Raw genomic sequence first — 15,780 nt, 5'->3', positions numbered from 1 at the left:
GAGGCGGAGGTTGCAGTGAGCTGAGATCACACCACTGCACTCCAGCCTGGGCAACAAAGCGAGACCCTGTCTCGAAAAAAAAATCTGAAAGTTTTCTGTGTATGAAAGTGCAAAAAAGCTCTGGGATTTCTGTTAAGTAAGAAAGCAAGTAAAAGTCAGTGAAGAGTAGAGAAAACACCCAATGCCCAGGCCAGGGCAGGAGGCAGCATGACGGGCTCAGGAGGCCCTGGGGAGTTTGGTGGGACCGGGAGCAAGAAGGGACAGACCAGGCAAGTGAGAAGGAGACCAGCTTGGGAGGGCCCCTGGGTGCAGAGAAGAAACTGAAAACTACCAGGAGCCAAGGGACAGTTTTCAGCAGATTCGGATCTCCTTTGTCTGGTACCAAGATCTGGCAAGTGTAAAGCAATAATCCACATTTATAATGTGCTTTGCATGCAGCATCTCATTTAAACCTCTCAGCACTGTAACCCCTATGAGAGAAGTGCTATTATCACAACATGTGGAACTGGAGCACAGGAAGGTTAAGGAACCAGTCCAAAGTCACACTGCTGGTAAACAGCAGAGCCAGAGAAAGGACCCTGAGCCCACGCCAGAATCACCTTGCTATCCTGCCTTTCACAGCGGTGTTGGATTGGAAGGGGATTGCTGGAGACCGGGGACAGTCAGGGGCTGTTATGAGTTGGGGACCCAGACGAGAAACAGTGAGGGCCTGGGGAAGGCAGCGAGTTTGGGTTGGGGATTCAAGTGTAGATTGAAAAGCTCTGAAGGATGTGGGAACGAGACCTGGTGGTGAGTGGGGCCCCTAATCCATTCACTCATTCATGCAGCAAAAGTATAGAGTGCCTACTGGGTGCCAGGTACTGTCCTGGGAGCTGGGCTTACATCAGTCACCAAAACCAACAAATGCCCCTGCCCTCAAGGGGCTTTCCTTCTAGCTGATGGAAACAGACAATAGTAATAGACATAAGAAATATGTAATTAGGTAATCTGTTAGAACCGTGGAAAGCTAAAGTAAAGGTAAGGGGGATTGGCAGCCCGTGTCCAGGAGACATCTGAAGTTTTAAGTGAGGTGGTCAGGGAAAGCGTCATCAAGAAGGTGACATTTGAACAAAGACTGAAAGAAGGTGAGGGGCGAGCTGTGCAGGTGTTTGGGGAAGGGCACTCCAGGCAGAGGGAACAGCCAGGGCAAAGGCCCGGGGCTGGGGCGTGTCTGGCGCGTTCGAGGAACAGCAGCGGGGAGGCTGTCACCCCTGTCCATCAGTGCCTGTCTCTTCTTCTGGAAACAGGGAAGGGCTACACTTCTTCCATTTGGGGTTAGGCCCAGCTGTGTAATCTGCTTTGGCCAGTGAGATACGAGTGGAAGAGATGCGTGCCACTTCCGAGCTGAAGCATGCAGGAGTCAGCGAGTGATTCCACATTCCCTTCACCCTGCCTGGAAGCAGGTGATGCTCCAGATGTCCCCGACATGGTCATGAGAGAGGACGATGCAGCGTAGCCCTCCCTGCTGACCCTCATGACGTGAAGCTGGAATGAGAAATGCCCCTCTCTGTTTTAAGGCCCAGTGAGTAGGGATGGTCACCACAGCACACCCCAGCCTGCCTCAACTGATACCCCAGGGGAGGCCTCTGCAGTGCAGCCAGAGAGAGGAGGGTGCAGGGAGGAGAGCAGAGGATGCAGGCAAGGAGGCCAGGGCACGCAATAATTCCCCGGCTTTTCCTGAGAGCGACACAGGAGCCATTGGGAAGCGTCAACTGGAGAGGTGCGATCCAGTGACATATCTGAACAGGACGGCTCTGGCCACTGTGCTGGGAACACCTGGGGGCAGGAGTGAAAAGGTGGGAGCAGGGAGACCAATTAGGAAGCTCCTGCAATGATCCAGATGAGAAATGATGGGGGCCTGGCCCAGGGTGGGGGCGGCAGTCTGACTCTGGGTCTCCTTTGAGATTAGAGCAGTAGGGTTTGCCAGTGGATGGGAGAGGGAGAGGGGTCTGGGATGCCTCGAAGGCTTTTGGTCTGAGCATCAGGAAGGAGAAAGCTGCCAGCCGGGGGTGGGGAGAATGCGGTGGTGGGGGAAGCGGGTTGGGGTGCTGTGGGGAGCGGGAGCTGGAACGGCTGAGATGCTTGTTATACATCCAAGTGGAGTGTCATGTGGGCGGCTGAGGAGAGGCCTGGCTGGGGGAGGGAGGACAGTCAGGCGTCTGTTTGGGTGTGGACAGTACAGACAGCATCTAACGGCTTGAGACTGGATGAAATCAGGAGGGGTGAAAGCTGGTGCCCCTTTCAGCATCTGGGCTGAGGACAAGGGAGAGAGAAGGGAGGGCATCTCAAGGGACATCCTGGAGGTGGTCTGGACCTCAATAGCCAGAGGGTGGGGGGCTTGAGGATGCAGGAGGAGGGGCAGGCTAGGGGTGGGAGAGGTCTGTCTCCCAGGGTGGAGGCAAGGGAGGGGAGAAAGGCCAAGGACAGACCCCTGGGTGGGGCTTCTTTGAGGGTGGCCCCAGGAGGAGGAAGTGGAACCTTGAAGGGGACAGTGATGGAGTGGGCAGGGAGGTGACAGGAAATCTGGGTGGGCGTTTCAGGAGCCAGGAGTATGGGCACATGTTTTAAGAAGAGAAAGAAAAAAGGGTCTGTGCTTTGGAATGGTGTTGAGGAGTGGAGGCAGGGGTGGCAGTGAAGTGCCCCAGACATAACAGCAGAGAGGTGATCAGTGGCCTCGGTGGGATGTTGGGGCAGGGGTTAGATCCCAGGAATTAAGGGGATGGGGAGGAGGGGGTTAATGGAGGCAGTGGGTGGAGACCGTGCTTTCCAGAGCCGAGGGCAGAGGCTGGAGGTGTGGGGGTGTGGGGCTATTGAGAGAGGGGTCCTGTGGGATGGGAAAGACTCAAGCAGCTGGTTTGATGCCCAGAGGCAGCAGTAGGCGGTGGGGGAAGGCTGAGAAGCCAGGGAGGCCAGGCAGAATGTCGGCAGGTGCCCCACAGCCTCAGTGGCTCCTGAGTCCTGAGGAAGGAGGGGAGACAGGCTAAGGTGGTGATGGGAGGGGGAACACAGGCAGAGGCAAGGAGGGGCAGAGGCAGGAGTGGAGGGAGCGTCAGCCGCTTTGATAGATAACTGATGAGACCATGTGGTGAGAAACCCATAGAACACAGGGGAAGGCCTCCAGGTAGGGCAGGCCTGCAGGCACAGAGGTGGAAGCAGGAGTGTACGGGGGCAGGTGGGTGGCCTTGGCAAAGTCATGGAGGCAGGGAAGCCTGTGGGACTTTGGGGAGCAGGATGAGAGGGGCCCAGAAGAGAGAGGCTGGGGCCTGACCATGGAGACCAGCCTGCCAGGCATGGGCATCTGTGAGTTGCTCAGCAGGCTTTGGGTGCTGCTGGAATCTTGGCCAAGCTCTGCCTGATGGAAGATGCCCACTGTCCCTGCGTCTACCTCCTGCTTGGGCTTGGGAGGGCCTCCAGGCGTTCACATCCTCTCCAGGCCTGGCCTCGAGGTCCCAAGAGGGGATAGGTGTCCAGAGGCAGGGTTGGGCTGGATGAAAATTCAGGTGAGAGGACATGACTTTGGTAGCTTGCGCCTCCTGGGAACACCTGGAAGTCACCTACTGAATCATCAGAGCCACTTGCCTGGGATGGAACTAAGGTTTCCTAAGAATCCACCCACTTCCTCTTTTCTAAAAGTCCCTTTCATCACTTCAGGGAAAAGGAACTCGTCTTCATTGACATCCCTGCATGCACGAGAGCAGGTCATGATTTACCTGGTGTGGTGCTCATGATGGCTTCATGGGGAGGGCGCTGTTGTTCTTCCCATCTGACAGGTGGGGAAGCTGAGGCCGTACAGGTACTGTGACCTACCCAAAGTCACATTGTGGAGTGAGTCTGTGGAGGTCACAGACACGGTATGGAGCATGGGGGCCCTGGCCATGGTGTTATCCGTCTCCTGCAGGTGGCTGCCAAGAAGCCTCTGTGACCTGGTAAATTCCTGATCTCTTCATCTATCTTGGGTACCGGTTTGGTTTCCTTGAATGCTTGAGGTTCCTTTCACTCTCACGGACATATGACAGAGTTCTTCCATCTCCCGTCACAGGCACTTCATGCAGGGCCCCACGCTACCATCGTGGGCTTCCTCATTCTTGCTTTGAAGGTCATGACCTCCTGGAGGCCCAGGAAGGGACATGAACCCTAATCCCCCTGGCTGGACCATTGGCTCCCTGAAGGCAGGAACCAAGTCCCAAAGCTTCATTCCCCATTTCTTTTCAGAGCCGACTCAGTCCTGGTGCCTAGGGGTGGATGGTGGGGGTCATCCCAGGAGGCACAGGTCCTGTAAGAAAGGAAGTAGCACCTACTGAGCTTTTGTTTGTTTGTTTGTTTTTGTTTTTGAGGTGGAGTCTCACTCTGTCACCCAGACTGGAGTGCAGCAGCGCGATCTTGCCTCACTGCAAACTCCACCTCCCGGGTTTAAGCTGTTCTCCTGCCTCAGCCTCCTGAGTAGCTGGGATTACAGGCGCACGCCACCACATCCAGCTAATTTTTTGTGTTTTTAGTAGAGACGGGGGTTTCGCCATGTTGGCCAGGCTGGTCTTGGACTCCTGACCTCAAGCAATCTGCCCACCTTGGCCTCCTAAAGTGCTGGGATTACAGGCGTGAGCCACCTTGCCTGGCGTTTGGATGAGCCAGGCTCTAGCACCATCTCCCCCACTCCTTTACAGGAACCCTCTGAGGACGATGTTACTGTCAGCACCCCCATTTTACAGGTGAGGGAATGAAGGTGACATAGCTGGCTTCCAGCCCTCATCTCTGAGCCCAGAGCCTGTACGCTGTACACTCGAGCAGGCAGAGACTGCACAAGCAGAGAGCAGGCCTCTGTGGGTCACGACAGGGGAGCCAGGTCAGCCCCGTCACGCATGGGCCCCCAGCACTGGCTGGCAGCCCCCCTCGGGGGCCAATCCCGAGTCCCCACTGGGAGGTCCAGCAGTGAGTGCTCCATGGTGCCCTGGTGACGGGGGGGGCCTGTGAGGCAGGCCGTGAGCCAAATGTCCCCACACAGCCTATCTCAGGCCACTCACAGAAAAGGAAAGAAAATATCTTGAGATCTTTTCTGGCCTTATCAGCCCCACACAGAGGCCCCGCTGTGGTGTGGTAACAGGGTCCGTGAGTGTGTGCTCAGATAAGCGCCAGGCGTTTCTGAGAACCTGCAAGGCACCGTCCTGAGTTCCCCCTCTCTAGAACATTCTTCTTCCACATGCTGCACAACTGGTTCCCTTAGGTCCTCAGGGCATATTCTTAGAGAGGCCCTCCTTGACCAGCCTTCTCAACCCCTTGCCCTCCCCTCCTGCCTCCAGCTTCGTCTCCCTCCTGGACACTCCCCGTCTCTGGGAGCCTCCTGCGGGTTCCTGGCTGGTGTCTGTTTTCCCAGCATGAGGGAAGCTCCTGGAGGGCAAGAGGCACATCTGTCTGGGCCTCGGGATCCTGGTGCTGCTCAGTAATGTCCATTGCCAGAGTGAGGCAGGGAAGGAGGTCTCAGCCCTAAGGTGTTCTTGGCATAGGGCCTGGCCTATGCGTGTATTTTATCTAATCCCTCTAACGACTTTACAAGGCAAAATTTATTATCTTCATTTCATAAATGAAGGAGCTCAGAATATAAAGCAGCTTGTGGGAGATCACAGAGAGTGTTAGTGGAAATTTGAACCAGGGGGGTCTGTGAGGCTCCAAAGAGGTGGGTGATGCCCCCTGAGCTGAAGGGGTGGGGCAGGAGACCCGTCCTAGCCTGGGCTCAGCTGCAGCCTCGCTCTGGGACTGTGGGCCGCAGGCTTCTCTTTGTATACTGGGGCTGGGGTCGCTCCCTGAGCTAAGATCCTGGCTCCAATGGAAGAAAGGTGATTTGCAGTGAGGGGGGTGAGGGGGCTTGGAGCCTCGGAGGAAGGGGTTGAAGCTGGGTAGGGAACAAGGGGCAGGATCCTCCTGAGGTGCCAGCATGGGAAACCGTGGGGGAAGGGCTTGGCCACAGGAATGAACTCAAAAAAGGGATCGAAGCACCCTGAGCTCCGAGCTGGATGCACAGGTGGGTGAGCCTTGGAAGCAGGAGGGACCTCCAGGGGGAGGGCACAGCAGCCGCATCCAGGCTGGGTGTCCCTGGGCCACAAGCTCAGCCTCTCTGTGGCTTTCCCAGCTTCAAGCAGAAGCTCAACCCTGGGAGAAGCGCTCTCTCGGGTTCCCCTGCTCCTAGCCCCAAGGACCCAGCCTGCTAGGTCCCACCAGCCCTGAAGCTAGGTCCACAGGTGCATATGGGCTCCCTCGGCTGCTGGCTTCCTGCCCAGCCCTCCTTCGGCAGCGCTCACTGGCTGGAGAGCAGGGGTCTCCTGAGGGGTGGGGCAGGGGCCAGGGCTTGCCCTCTGATCCTACCCCTAACATTGCCTGGGCCCAGGGCAGGAGTAAAAATGGAGGCCCACATACTATATGTCTGGATATTTCAAAGTTATAAATCAAGCCAACAACCTCTAAATAGGATATGCTCTATCCTCCTACATTAGCAAATACACCTTCATAACACCCTGAGGACCAGGTTTGTACTTAGAATTCTTGGGCTCCTGGAATGCAGGACTGGAATGTGGCAGGCAGAGGCTGAGCCAACCCCAGCTCCCATCCCGGGCTCCCCCTTGGGCAGTGTGTGACCTTCCCAGACCCATCCATATACGTAGCAGTGGCTGCCCCTTGGCCACTCCCGAGGCCTTGGGGTGTGCACACCCGCTGCAGGTCGGTTCTCAGGAAGGCAGGCCCAGCGGAAAGGCCCACGTGGGCTGTGGAGTTAGATTTGGGGCCCTGTGGGCAGGGAATTCTGGGGTTCTGCATTTGGAGGGGGGATGTGGGGCTCGGGTGGACACATTTCCTTGGCTCATGGACTTTATTTCCCTGTTGGAGGGGCAAGGCCAGTGGAAGGCTGGAGTGGAATCCTCTAGAATGCAGGTGCCAGGGCAGGGCTCCTTCTTGCTTGCATCTAAGGGTAATGCTGTCCCCGGGCACTCCCAGAACCTGGCTATGGATAAAATGTCCCTACCCTGCTTACATCTCAGCATCTGAGGTACCCTGGAGCCACACTGGACTTGCCTACCTTGCCCCACCCACAGTCTATGGTGCTGGCATTCCCTCACCCTGGACGCTGGCACTCTTCTCTGGCACCATCCCCTCCCTTCCTGCCCAGCATGCCCACTTTCCTCATGTGGCAGGGGAGGGGGCGCCTCCTGTTCCCCACCTCTCTGGGACCTTGGTCTCCGCCGGTCCATGTGCTCTCTCTGCCTGGTCTGGCTCGGTGGACCTCTCGGTGCCGAGCCCTCCCGCCCTGACCGGGGGCCCTGCGGGCAGTGGGCAGCCCTCCTGGAAAGTGGGGCACCAACTCCACTTCAGCCAATGTTTCTCGCTCTCTCAGCTGAAAAGCCACCGCTTCCCCGAGGCTCCCAGCCCTCGCCCCACCGGTACTAGCAGCTCCTTCCCTGATGCTGTGTGACAGGCCCAACGTCAGGGCTCCCACACCTGGCCAGCTGCCCTGCTACTGGGTGCCTCCCCCACAACACCTGCCACAAGCCAATCAGGGCACTGCAGCCCCTGCTGTATGGGTGCTGTCTGCCTTTGGGCCCAGGATGGGCCCTTCTGGGCTCCCCTGTTCCTGTCCAGTCTCGCCTCCCACCCTGAGGGGGATCATGGCAAAAAAAGTGGGGGTGGTGAGCGGACCCTGCTGTCAGGGTTGAGAGGTGATTCAGAGGCCTTTTCTGTCACGAGTGAAGGGGGTTGGGCCCTGGGGGGAGGTGATGGGGATTTTTGGACTGAGCTGTGCCCCGAGGGCCTTGATCAGCTTTGGCCCCCGAGTATCTGATCAGGAACATGCTGGCTGGAACACTCAGGGAGAGGCCGTCCTGTGCCTCCTCAGCCTACAGTCCACGGTGCTGGCCGCCACCTCAGGAACGACTCCTGCAGACGTGGCCCCTTCCCATGTTTCTTTGTTCACGGCTGGCCTGGTTCTTGCTGTGTCAGCATCGGCACCATCCCCTGCCAGGCATGGCCGCAGTCCCACAACCAGCATGGCTCCCTAGGGAGGACAATGCCGGGTGGGAGGGTCCCGGCTGTGGGGACCAGGTCTGGGCCTAGGCAAGGAGAGTGCCCATCTCATCCTGCCAGATAATGGATAGAGGGAGAGGCACCCACTTGCCCCCTGTGCAGCTGTGGGTTTCCCTGGACAGGCTTGTGCCTGCCACCCTGGGGAGGCCCCTCCTTCTCCTCTCTCCTCATCAGGATGGCCTGGCCTGTCTCCCTCCTGCTACAACGCCCCTCCCTGCTGGCCCAGCAGGGTCCAGGAGCCTGAGCTACTGGGACATACCCAGCTTACAATGGACAATGAGCCCAGATCTTCCTCTGCAAGCCAGCCGGTGCCGGGAGGCGAGACAGGCCAGGTCGGTTACCTGAGGGGGATCTCTGAGCGCCTCCTCTGCTCTGCCCTTTGCACCTGCTGAGCCCATCTCAATGCCTTCCTCCCTCCTTGTTGCCCTTGAGCCCCCCACAGCACCCTTCTCCGGGAAGCCTTCCTGACTGCAGAATTCCCCAGCATGAGTCTGAGTGAAGGACCCATCCCTACAGGTCCCTGTCCTGGGAGTCAAGGCTCCTGGGAGCTGGCCCAGATATCCTTTTAGCCATAGCCCAACCCCCTCCTTGGCTCATGCTAGGCCCTTGGGCTCAGTAGAGACTTTCACAAGAGGTGGGGGCTTGTGGTGGCCACAGCATGCTGGCCTATGGCTTGTGGCTCAGTTGCCCATCTGAGAAATAGGGGCGCTGTCGCTTCCTCTGCCAGCAATGGTCTCCATCCCTCCCCGCCTCTCCGGTTTCCTTTATGGAGCAGCTCAGCTGTTTCCCAGTTGGGAAGCGCCCTGCTCCTCTGGGAAGGGCTCAGGAAGCAATTGAGGATCTGACCTCATGTTTCCGTCCATCCAGCCCTGTCTGGTGCTGCCAGATGTCTGAGGAGCTTCTGTGGGGGAGGGGGAAGGGGTAGGAGATGGGGCTGCAGGACTAGGGGCTGGATCTAACTCCAGCCCCTCTTGGGATGAGGCTGTTGTCCCTTTTGATGGGGAACTGAGGTCCCAAGTTGAGGGGAGCTCAGGCTGCAAAGCTGGCTGCCCGTGCCTTCCTGCTCAGAGCTACCCCTGGCATGTGCTAAGGAATTTGCAGGGGAAAAAATACAACTGGATGCCAGGCCTTGAGGCCACCTGAGGCCCACAGGCTGTGAGAATGCAGGTTTGGGCTGGAGCTAGCACAGAAGCAAGGTCTGCCAGGGGCCAGGAAAGGCAGGAGGCTGACCTCAGCTTGGGGGATGGGGTGGGAGGGTCAAGAGGACAACAGGCGAGGGAGGCAGCGGCTGGTCTGAGTGCCCCGAGGAGCCTGCCCAGGTGGGAGGCTGCCAGCCAGGCCCTGGGAAGGGGACTTCTGGGGCACTGCACCCTCTCTGGGAGTACCACTGAGCAGGGCGGGCAGGAAGGCTGGGCTTATTGCGTTTCAGGACCAGTCACTTCCTCTCTCTGGACCACACCTTTCAGATGAGCTCACCACCTACTTCAGTGCCCAGCCCACCCTGATGTTGCAGGAGCAAATAAGGTGATGAAGACTCTGAAAAGCAGAAATGTGGTATTATTAGTAGACTTCATATTTGACTTGCTAATTCACTTCCTAAAAATAGCTACATTTATTATAGCATGGGGAGAACCCTATGCTAGAGTTGGCGCCCTGGATTCTTGGTGCGGCTCTGTGACAGCTATGCTGTGTGACCTTGGGCTGGGTCCTAACCATTTCTGGTCGTCTGATTTCTAGGTGGAGGCTGGATAGTCCCTGAGGGCCATAGGCCCTGAGATTGGAACAGCAGCTGGATGCAAAATCATCAAGGAGGATGTGGACTGGATGTGGGCTCTGGAGGACTGGCTTCCTCTGAGTCACGGGTCAGAGCAATTGGTGCCACTGAGGCTGCCCCTGTAACCTGTTGGAGGGGTATTGAGTCTTGTGTCTTGCCTTGATCTTGAGGCCCCAGGGGCAGGTTGCCTGGTCCCCACCACAGAGCCCAACCATTAGGAGGCTCCAAGGACTGCAGATGAAAAGGGTCACAGAGAGGAGCTAGAGCCAGATGGGGTGGGGTGGGGGAAACCGTGGGACATCCAGCTGGCTGGGGAACCCACTCATTCACAGCACGTTTACTGAGGGCCTTCTATGTGCCTAGCACTGACTCTGCCACATGCTGCAGAGACAATGGAGGGTGAACTAGACCAGGCCCTGGTCCCTGCCCTCCTGGAGCTTCAGCTGTAGTACAGGAGGCAGGCACTCATCACTAACCACACAACTAAACTCTACAAAGGGCTCAGAGAGGGGTGCATGGTGCCAGGAGCACATGTAATGGGGGATTTGACTTAGGTGAGAGGTCAGAGAAAGCTCACTGGAGGAGGTGACATGGGTTGAAACCTGAAGGATGAGTAGGTACCTGCTAGGCAAAGCAGGGGTGGTAGGGGAATGCTAGGCAGAAGGAAGAGCAGAAACACTGGCCAGGTGGTGAGCAGGGGGTGCAGAGGGGCTAAGGGGAAGCCAGAGTGGCTGCAGTGGACACCGGGACCCAGGAGTCCTGCCTTTACCATCAGCTTGGTGAAAAAGCCCCTGAAGAGGAGATTTTTGATCTGAAGCAGCTGCTATGTGGGCCTGATGGTGGTTGAACCAGAGTGCGGGGGTTTAGATGGCCACGGGCCAGACTCAGACGTCAGCATGAGGCAACGGAAGGGATCAAGGTGGTTGTGTCTAGAGACACTGATTCATAGAAACTCTGGCCTGGAAGTGCACATGTCTGAGGACACAGGTTACCTGGTGGGTGTTTCTTCCTCCTTCCTGCACTCTCCTGTCTGGTTTCAGTTCTTCTGTCAGCCCCGTGAGTCACCGGCTCCTCCAGGTGGTGCAGGCCCGGGACCTGCCAGGATGCTGTCCCCACCCCCTGAATGTGCCCCCATCTCCATTTTCCTTGCCCCTCTGTCCCTGGGTGCCTGCTGTGACTCCCCAAGCCCCTGCCCACCCTGTCTGCTCTCTGTGTGGTGGAACCATCAGCCTGGGAGAACTGAAGAGTTAATTGTAGGACAACTGGCCCTGACAGGGGCTTTCCAGTAGACAGTGTGTGAACTTTGGTGTATGGTGGCATTGATGGGAAACCAAGGGGAGTGGTGCTGAAAGGGGCCCCTTGGAGACCATCTGTCCATGCTGCACAGGGCACAGTGGGCTTGGGGCTGAGGACCACCACGAAGCCTAGTAGCAGGGGATGGGAACCCCTAGCCCCCTGGTATTTTAAATCTTGGGAGAGGCAGGTGCGTGGGGCCTTTCTGACCTGGGGCCTCAAGATCCCCTGCCTCCTAGATCTTGTATTGCCAGCTGCTGTGGGGCTTTTGCCCCGAGAAGCTGGACTCCTGGGATTTTGAAGGGAGGCCTTGGGGGCACTCATTATAGCAGGGGTTCCCGCTGGGACCAGATCCAGAAGTTTGGTTAGGAATACAAGCCCTCGCCATTGGGAAGGGTCCCAGGGCTGATGGGGGTGACACGGAGCCCCCTGCACCCTGGCCATCTCTCCTGGGGGCCAGAGTGGCTCATCTTCTTGACCCCTGCGGCCCTGCTCACTCCCCCATGCCCCTGCTCTTCTTTAGCCATCCTGGAGAAAATTCTCTCTTGTCGCACCTAAGAGGGTCCTGAAACAGCAATAAGGACATCTAGCCCCTGTCTTCACATAGCACTGCAGTTGGCCACCCTTTCCCCACCTTCTCCTAGAGCATTATTTTGGGAAAGGGACACTCCCGGAATTGAGGTTGGATACTCAGTATAGAGGCCTCTAGAAGTTTCTCCTTAGGTCTAGCCTCCTTTGCAGGACAACTTTCTGTGGAAACCTGTGGCCTGGGAGACAGTCTCTTCTCCAGCCCCTTCCCCTCTCGAGAGAGCAGACTTTGGATGGAGCTGGGTGCATTTCTAGAATGTTCTCTCAACTGGTGGAGGTGCAAGGAGAAAGGAAGGGCTTGTTTCCTCCCTCGCTCAGGTTAGAAGGAGCTGGCATCAGAATGGGGCCGGGGAGTCCCATGCTCAGCTCTGTGTGCTGTTCTTCCCACCCCAGAAACCCTGCCTCCCACCTATGCCTTCTGTGTCCCCAGCCCTGGTTCTGCCCTGGGACCTTGGGATGGGCCTGAGGGCAGTGGCTGGGAGTCTGGGAGCTGTCACTCCTGGGGCAGTACCGCCCCCTGCTGGCCACCCAGAGAGGCCCGGAGGCTAGAAGTTTCATTCAGTGCCTGCTGGTCAGCCCAGTGCCAGCTGATTGGCCCCGTGGGGCTGGTTCCTGGGTTCTCCAGGAACAGCCTGGGTGCGCTCTGGCACAGATTCTGGCTTGGTCTCTGGCAGGCTGAGTGGTTTTAGACGAATTTCTCTTCCTGACTGGGTGGGCCTCAATTTCCTGATCTGTACAAAGAGTAGGGTGACTCAAGGAGGTTCCTCCCAGGTTTCAGATTTGGAGCCTGCTCCTAGCCTGCCTCTTCATTCCCGTTCCTGCTCTCCCTGCCCTCAAGGCCTCCCAGCCCCTTCTGGCCTCGCTCTCTACTTGGCAGGTCCCAGTGCCAGCAGCCCCCACCTGCCCTCCACTTCCCTGGGCCCCCCTCCCGCCGCCACAGGCTGCCTCCCCTCCCACTTGGCCCCTCACTCAGTGCTGGGCCTGGCTGGCTGAGGTGGGTGGAGGAGCACCCCCAATCCTCCTCCCACTCAGGCATGAACCGTTGTGACTGGGCTCCTAGCGAGTAGGTAAGACATCATACATTATCCAGTTTGCCAACTGTAAAATGGGATAATAACACCCAACTCCCAGAGTTGTTATGAGGATTAAACAAAATAATGACACATTTGTGAAAGAGCTTTGTAGGTAGGTGGAGAGTCTGTGTCAGAGGAGGGGTCAAGAGTAACTTGGGCAGGCTGCCTGGATGGTCCCTGAGGCCAACAGCGGAAGGCTGGACGACCTAGACAAGCCCTCGCTGGACACCACCCACCCTCCTGGGGTTGGAAGTCAGGTCAGACCCCTGGGAGTCCAGTCCTGATCTCCTGTGGTGAGAGAGGCCTGGAGTCTGGCAAGAGAACTCTGCCGGGCATAGCTCCATGACTTACCAGTCCCAGCAGAGACATGGGAGCGGTGGGGGAGCCAGAGACAGACCTCTCAGCACCCCTGGGACAGGAGGGGCTCTCAGTCTCTGCAGGAAAGAAAGCAAGACATTCCATAGGCACCATAGGCACCAAGACATTCCAAAGGCACAACATTGATCAGAGACTTAAGACTATCCTGAAGGCTCTCCACTCATCTCAGGAGAAATTTCCCAGGCCTTAGTTGAGCATTGAAGGTCTTAAGGACTTAAGGACCTGGCTCCTGTGCCCCTTTCTGCTTTGTTTTACCCCTCCCTTCTGTCCTCTATCGGCCACTCTGAATTCCTTGGCAACCAGACTATTCACAGGCAACTCTAGGAGAGAGATACTATTAAGACAACGATGCACAGAGAGGTTGAGCAGCTTGCTTAAGGCCACACAGTCAGTGAGTGGAGGAGCAGGGGATGGAATGCACTGGAGCCCTGCCCCTAACCTCCACGCTATGCTGCTCTCAGGACACATGGGAGGGGGCGGGTTTAGGCGGGGAGAGCAGGGAGGGGCCTTTTCAGAATTTAGGGGACAGAGGATGGTGGCCTGATGGGCAGGGCTCGGGGTCTGGGAAGAGAGGGGTGGGGTTTGGAGACACTTGGAAGAAGGAGCAGGGGGAGCAGCAGTTTGACGCTTTGAAGACTGGATGAAAGGGGCCTGGGGTGAGGGGCAGGGGCAGAGGAAGCTGGTGGGGTTGGATTTGGGTGTGGCATGGGTGTGGGCCTGGGGGCCACCCAGATGGTCGAGTTGTGGGAGGTGGGATGCTGGGGCTCAGGAGTGGAGCCCCTTGGGATTGCCAGCTCTGTGCCTAGGACTGAGTGTGGGCACCTGGCGGGAGGTGGTATGTACAGTGAGAAGTCCCAGGGAGCCTCCACATCAGGGCTGTCTCAGAAACTGGTGGGGCTAAGGAACCAGGCGAGGTTTAGGGGAGCTGGACACCTGTCCAGGAGAGGACCAGTAGGGGGGACAGTATCCATTGGCACACCCAGGGCAGAGGGAGTAGTAGCCCCAGAGACTTGAGATGGGACCTGTGGGTAGAAAAAAAAGAGGAGGTGGGGCGTGATGACTCATGCCTGTAATCTCAGCACTTTGGGAGGCCGAGGTGGGTGGATCATGAAGTCAGGAGTTCAAGACCAGCCTGGCCAACATGGTGAAACCCTGTCTCTACTAAAAAAATAGGCTGGCTGTGGTGGCTCGTGCCTGTAATCCCAGCACTTTGGGAGGCCGAGGTGGGTGGATCATGAGGTCAGGAGTACAAGACCAGCCTGGCCAACATGGTGAAACCCCGTCTCTACTAAAAATATAGGCTGGGCGTGGTGGCTAGTGCCTGTAATCCCAGCACTTTGGGAGGCCGAGGTAGGTGGATCACTTGAAGTCAGGAGTTTGACACCAGCCTGGGCAACAGGGTGAAACCCCATCTCTACTAAAAAATACAAAATTTAGTTGGTCGTGGTGGTGGGCACCTGTAATCCCAGCTACTGGTGAGGTGAGGCAGGAGAATTGCTTGAACCTGGGAGGCGGAGGTTGCAGTGAGCCAAGATTGTGCCATTGCACTCCAACCTGGGCAAAGAAGCGAGACTCCGTCTCAAAAAAAAAAAAAAAAAAATATTAGCCGGATGTGGTGGCGGGCACCTGTAATCCCAGCTACTTGGCAGGCTGAGGCAGAGAATCGCTTGAACCTGGGAGGCGGAGGTTACAGTGAGCCGAGATCGCACCACTGCACTCCAGCCTGGGCGACAGAGCAAGACTCCATCTCAAAAAAAAGAAAAAGAAAAAGAAAACGGAAAAAAATTGCACAGAGGAGGCTGGATGTGGTAGGTCATGCCTGTAATCCCAGAACTTTGGGAAGCTGAGGCGGGTGGATCACCTGAGGTCAGGAGTTCGAGACCAGCCTGGCCAACATGGCGAAACCCTGTCTCTACTAAAAACACGAAAATTAGCCAGGTGTGGTAGTGTGTGCCTATAGTCCCAGCTACTCAGGAGGCTGAGGTGGGAGAAACTCTTGAACCCGGGAGCCAGAGGCTGCAGTTAGTCGAGATCATGCCACTGCACTCCAGCCTGGGCAACAGAGTAAGACTCTGTTTCAAAAAAACAAAACAAAACAACAACAACAACAAAATCTCCAAACAACAACAAAAAAGAAATTGCACAGAGGGAAGCTTATCTTGATGGAAGAAAAGCTTTCTCATTAATGGAGTACCCAAATGTCACAGAGGCTTGGGGTACTAATCCCAGTCACAGGAGGCATCAGAGGCAGGGCTGGATGGCTGCTCTGCAGGGTGAGGGCTGTTGCTAAGGGAGCTTCAGTGGTGGTGATGGACATGAGGCCGGGGAACCTGTACCTAGTGGAAGGACCATTGCTTTCTAAACTTAAACAGCCCCTTTCCTGGGGAACAAGCTCTAACTCATGCTGTGAAACCACGACCCGCCCCGGCATTCTAAGACTCACCTGCTGTGTAGACGGAGGCCTTCTGCATCACCAGAAGGAGTCCCTCTCCCCTCCCCCATGTCGCAAGCTCATCATCTTGAGGGACTTTCCCTGTCTCTCTTCATCCCACACCCACCCCAGGGCAGGCCTTT

General features: G+C 57.0%; 1 long non-coding RNA gene across 1 annotated transcript, besides 17 other annotated features; it reads right to left on the bottom strand.

Annotated features, from left to right (window-relative positions):
* Positions 1-74: 74 nt before the first annotated feature.
* Positions 75-15,749, bottom strand: LINC02255 (long intergenic non-protein coding RNA 2255). Its single transcript, NR_146881.1, has 4 exons — positions 15,650-15,749; positions 13,180-13,262; positions 3,750-4,312; positions 75-1,524 (listed from the first exon to the last, which is right to left on the bottom strand). It is a non-coding gene; the product is annotated as a long intergenic non-protein coding RNA 2255 (long non-coding RNA).
* Positions 1,943-2,497: a transcriptional cis regulatory region, noted in NCBI's record as "candidate enhancer chr15.2230 targeted for multiplex CRISPR interference". NCBI's record gives its function as "positively regulates SEMA7A gene expression with high confidence in K562 cells {active_cell/tissue: K562}" and the evidence as "EXISTENCE:mutant phenotype evidence [ECO:0000015][PMID:30612741]".
* Positions 6,096-6,636: an enhancer, noted in NCBI's record as "H3K27ac-H3K4me1 hESC enhancer chr15:74680535-74681075 (GRCh37/hg19 assembly coordinates)". NCBI's record gives its function as "activates a minimal SCP1, AML or CMV promoter by ChIP-STARR-seq in naive H9 embryonic stem cells {active_cell/tissue: H9 hESC(naive)}" and the evidence as "EXISTENCE:reporter gene assay evidence [ECO:0000049][PMID:30033119]".
* Positions 6,637-7,176: an enhancer, noted in NCBI's record as "H3K27ac-H3K4me1 hESC enhancer chr15:74679995-74680534 (GRCh37/hg19 assembly coordinates)". NCBI's record gives its function as "activates a minimal SCP1, AML or CMV promoter by ChIP-STARR-seq in naive H9 embryonic stem cells {active_cell/tissue: H9 hESC(naive)}" and the evidence as "EXISTENCE:reporter gene assay evidence [ECO:0000049][PMID:30033119]".
* Positions 7,177-7,718: an enhancer, noted in NCBI's record as "H3K27ac-H3K4me1 hESC enhancer chr15:74679453-74679994 (GRCh37/hg19 assembly coordinates)". NCBI's record gives its function as "activates a minimal SCP1, AML or CMV promoter by ChIP-STARR-seq in naive H9 embryonic stem cells {active_cell/tissue: H9 hESC(naive)}" and the evidence as "EXISTENCE:reporter gene assay evidence [ECO:0000049][PMID:30033119]".
* Positions 7,662-7,981: an enhancer, noted in NCBI's record as "active region_9756". NCBI's record gives its function as "activates an Ori minimal core promoter by ATAC-STARR-seq in GM12878 lymphoblastoid cells {active_cell/tissue: GM12878}" and the evidence as "EXISTENCE:reporter gene assay evidence [ECO:0000049][PMID:35858748]".
* Positions 7,662-8,259: a biological region, named in NCBI's record as "H3K4me1 hESC enhancer GRCh37_chr15:74678913-74679452".
* Positions 7,719-8,259: an enhancer, noted in NCBI's record as "H3K4me1 hESC enhancer chr15:74678913-74679452 (GRCh37/hg19 assembly coordinates)". NCBI's record gives its function as "activates a minimal SCP1, AML or CMV promoter by ChIP-STARR-seq in naive H9 embryonic stem cells {active_cell/tissue: H9 hESC(naive)}" and the evidence as "EXISTENCE:reporter gene assay evidence [ECO:0000049][PMID:30033119]".
* Positions 8,260-8,800: an enhancer, noted in NCBI's record as "H3K4me1 hESC enhancer chr15:74678372-74678912 (GRCh37/hg19 assembly coordinates)". NCBI's record gives its function as "activates a minimal SCP1, AML or CMV promoter by ChIP-STARR-seq in naive H9 embryonic stem cells {active_cell/tissue: H9 hESC(naive)}" and the evidence as "EXISTENCE:reporter gene assay evidence [ECO:0000049][PMID:30033119]".
* Positions 9,328-10,527: an enhancer, noted in NCBI's record as "P300/CBP strongly-dependent group 1 enhancer chr15:74676645-74677844 (GRCh37/hg19 assembly coordinates)". NCBI's record gives its function as "activates an origin of replication core promoter dependent on BRD2, BRD4, P300/CBP, MED14 and CDK7 cofactors, with strong dependence on P300/CBP, by STARR-seq in HCT116 cells {active_cell/tissue: HCT116}" and the evidence as "EXISTENCE:reporter gene assay evidence [ECO:0000049][PMID:35650434]".
* Positions 9,328-10,712: a biological region, named in NCBI's record as "P300/CBP strongly-dependent group 1 enhancer GRCh37_chr15:74676645-74677844".
* Positions 9,613-9,732: an enhancer, noted in NCBI's record as "active region_9755". NCBI's record gives its function as "activates an Ori minimal core promoter by ATAC-STARR-seq in GM12878 lymphoblastoid cells {active_cell/tissue: GM12878}" and the evidence as "EXISTENCE:reporter gene assay evidence [ECO:0000049][PMID:35858748]".
* Positions 10,453-10,712: an enhancer, noted in NCBI's record as "active region_9754". NCBI's record gives its function as "activates an Ori minimal core promoter by ATAC-STARR-seq in GM12878 lymphoblastoid cells {active_cell/tissue: GM12878}" and the evidence as "EXISTENCE:reporter gene assay evidence [ECO:0000049][PMID:35858748]".
* Positions 10,803-11,102: an enhancer, noted in NCBI's record as "active region_9753". NCBI's record gives its function as "activates an Ori minimal core promoter by ATAC-STARR-seq in GM12878 lymphoblastoid cells {active_cell/tissue: GM12878}" and the evidence as "EXISTENCE:reporter gene assay evidence [ECO:0000049][PMID:35858748]".
* Positions 11,346-11,846: an enhancer, noted in NCBI's record as "H3K4me1 hESC enhancer chr15:74675326-74675826 (GRCh37/hg19 assembly coordinates)". NCBI's record gives its function as "activates a minimal SCP1, AML or CMV promoter by ChIP-STARR-seq in naive H9 embryonic stem cells {active_cell/tissue: H9 hESC(naive)}" and the evidence as "EXISTENCE:reporter gene assay evidence [ECO:0000049][PMID:30033119]".
* Positions 11,834-11,913: an enhancer, noted in NCBI's record as "active region_9752". NCBI's record gives its function as "activates an Ori minimal core promoter by ATAC-STARR-seq in GM12878 lymphoblastoid cells {active_cell/tissue: GM12878}" and the evidence as "EXISTENCE:reporter gene assay evidence [ECO:0000049][PMID:35858748]".
* Positions 11,924-12,003: an enhancer, noted in NCBI's record as "active region_9751". NCBI's record gives its function as "activates an Ori minimal core promoter by ATAC-STARR-seq in GM12878 lymphoblastoid cells {active_cell/tissue: GM12878}" and the evidence as "EXISTENCE:reporter gene assay evidence [ECO:0000049][PMID:35858748]".
* Positions 15,417-15,726: an enhancer, noted in NCBI's record as "active region_9750". NCBI's record gives its function as "activates an Ori minimal core promoter by ATAC-STARR-seq in GM12878 lymphoblastoid cells {active_cell/tissue: GM12878}" and the evidence as "EXISTENCE:reporter gene assay evidence [ECO:0000049][PMID:35858748]".

The sequence above is a fragment of the Homo sapiens genome, chromosome 15 (assembly GCF_000001405.40).
Source record: "Homo sapiens chromosome 15, GRCh38.p14 Primary Assembly".
In the NCBI taxonomy this organism is placed as follows: domain Eukaryota; kingdom Metazoa; phylum Chordata; class Mammalia; order Primates; family Hominidae; genus Homo; species Homo sapiens.
The sequence above is the reverse complement of the archived record's forward strand: the minus strand, read 5'-3'. Positions and strand labels throughout refer to the sequence as shown.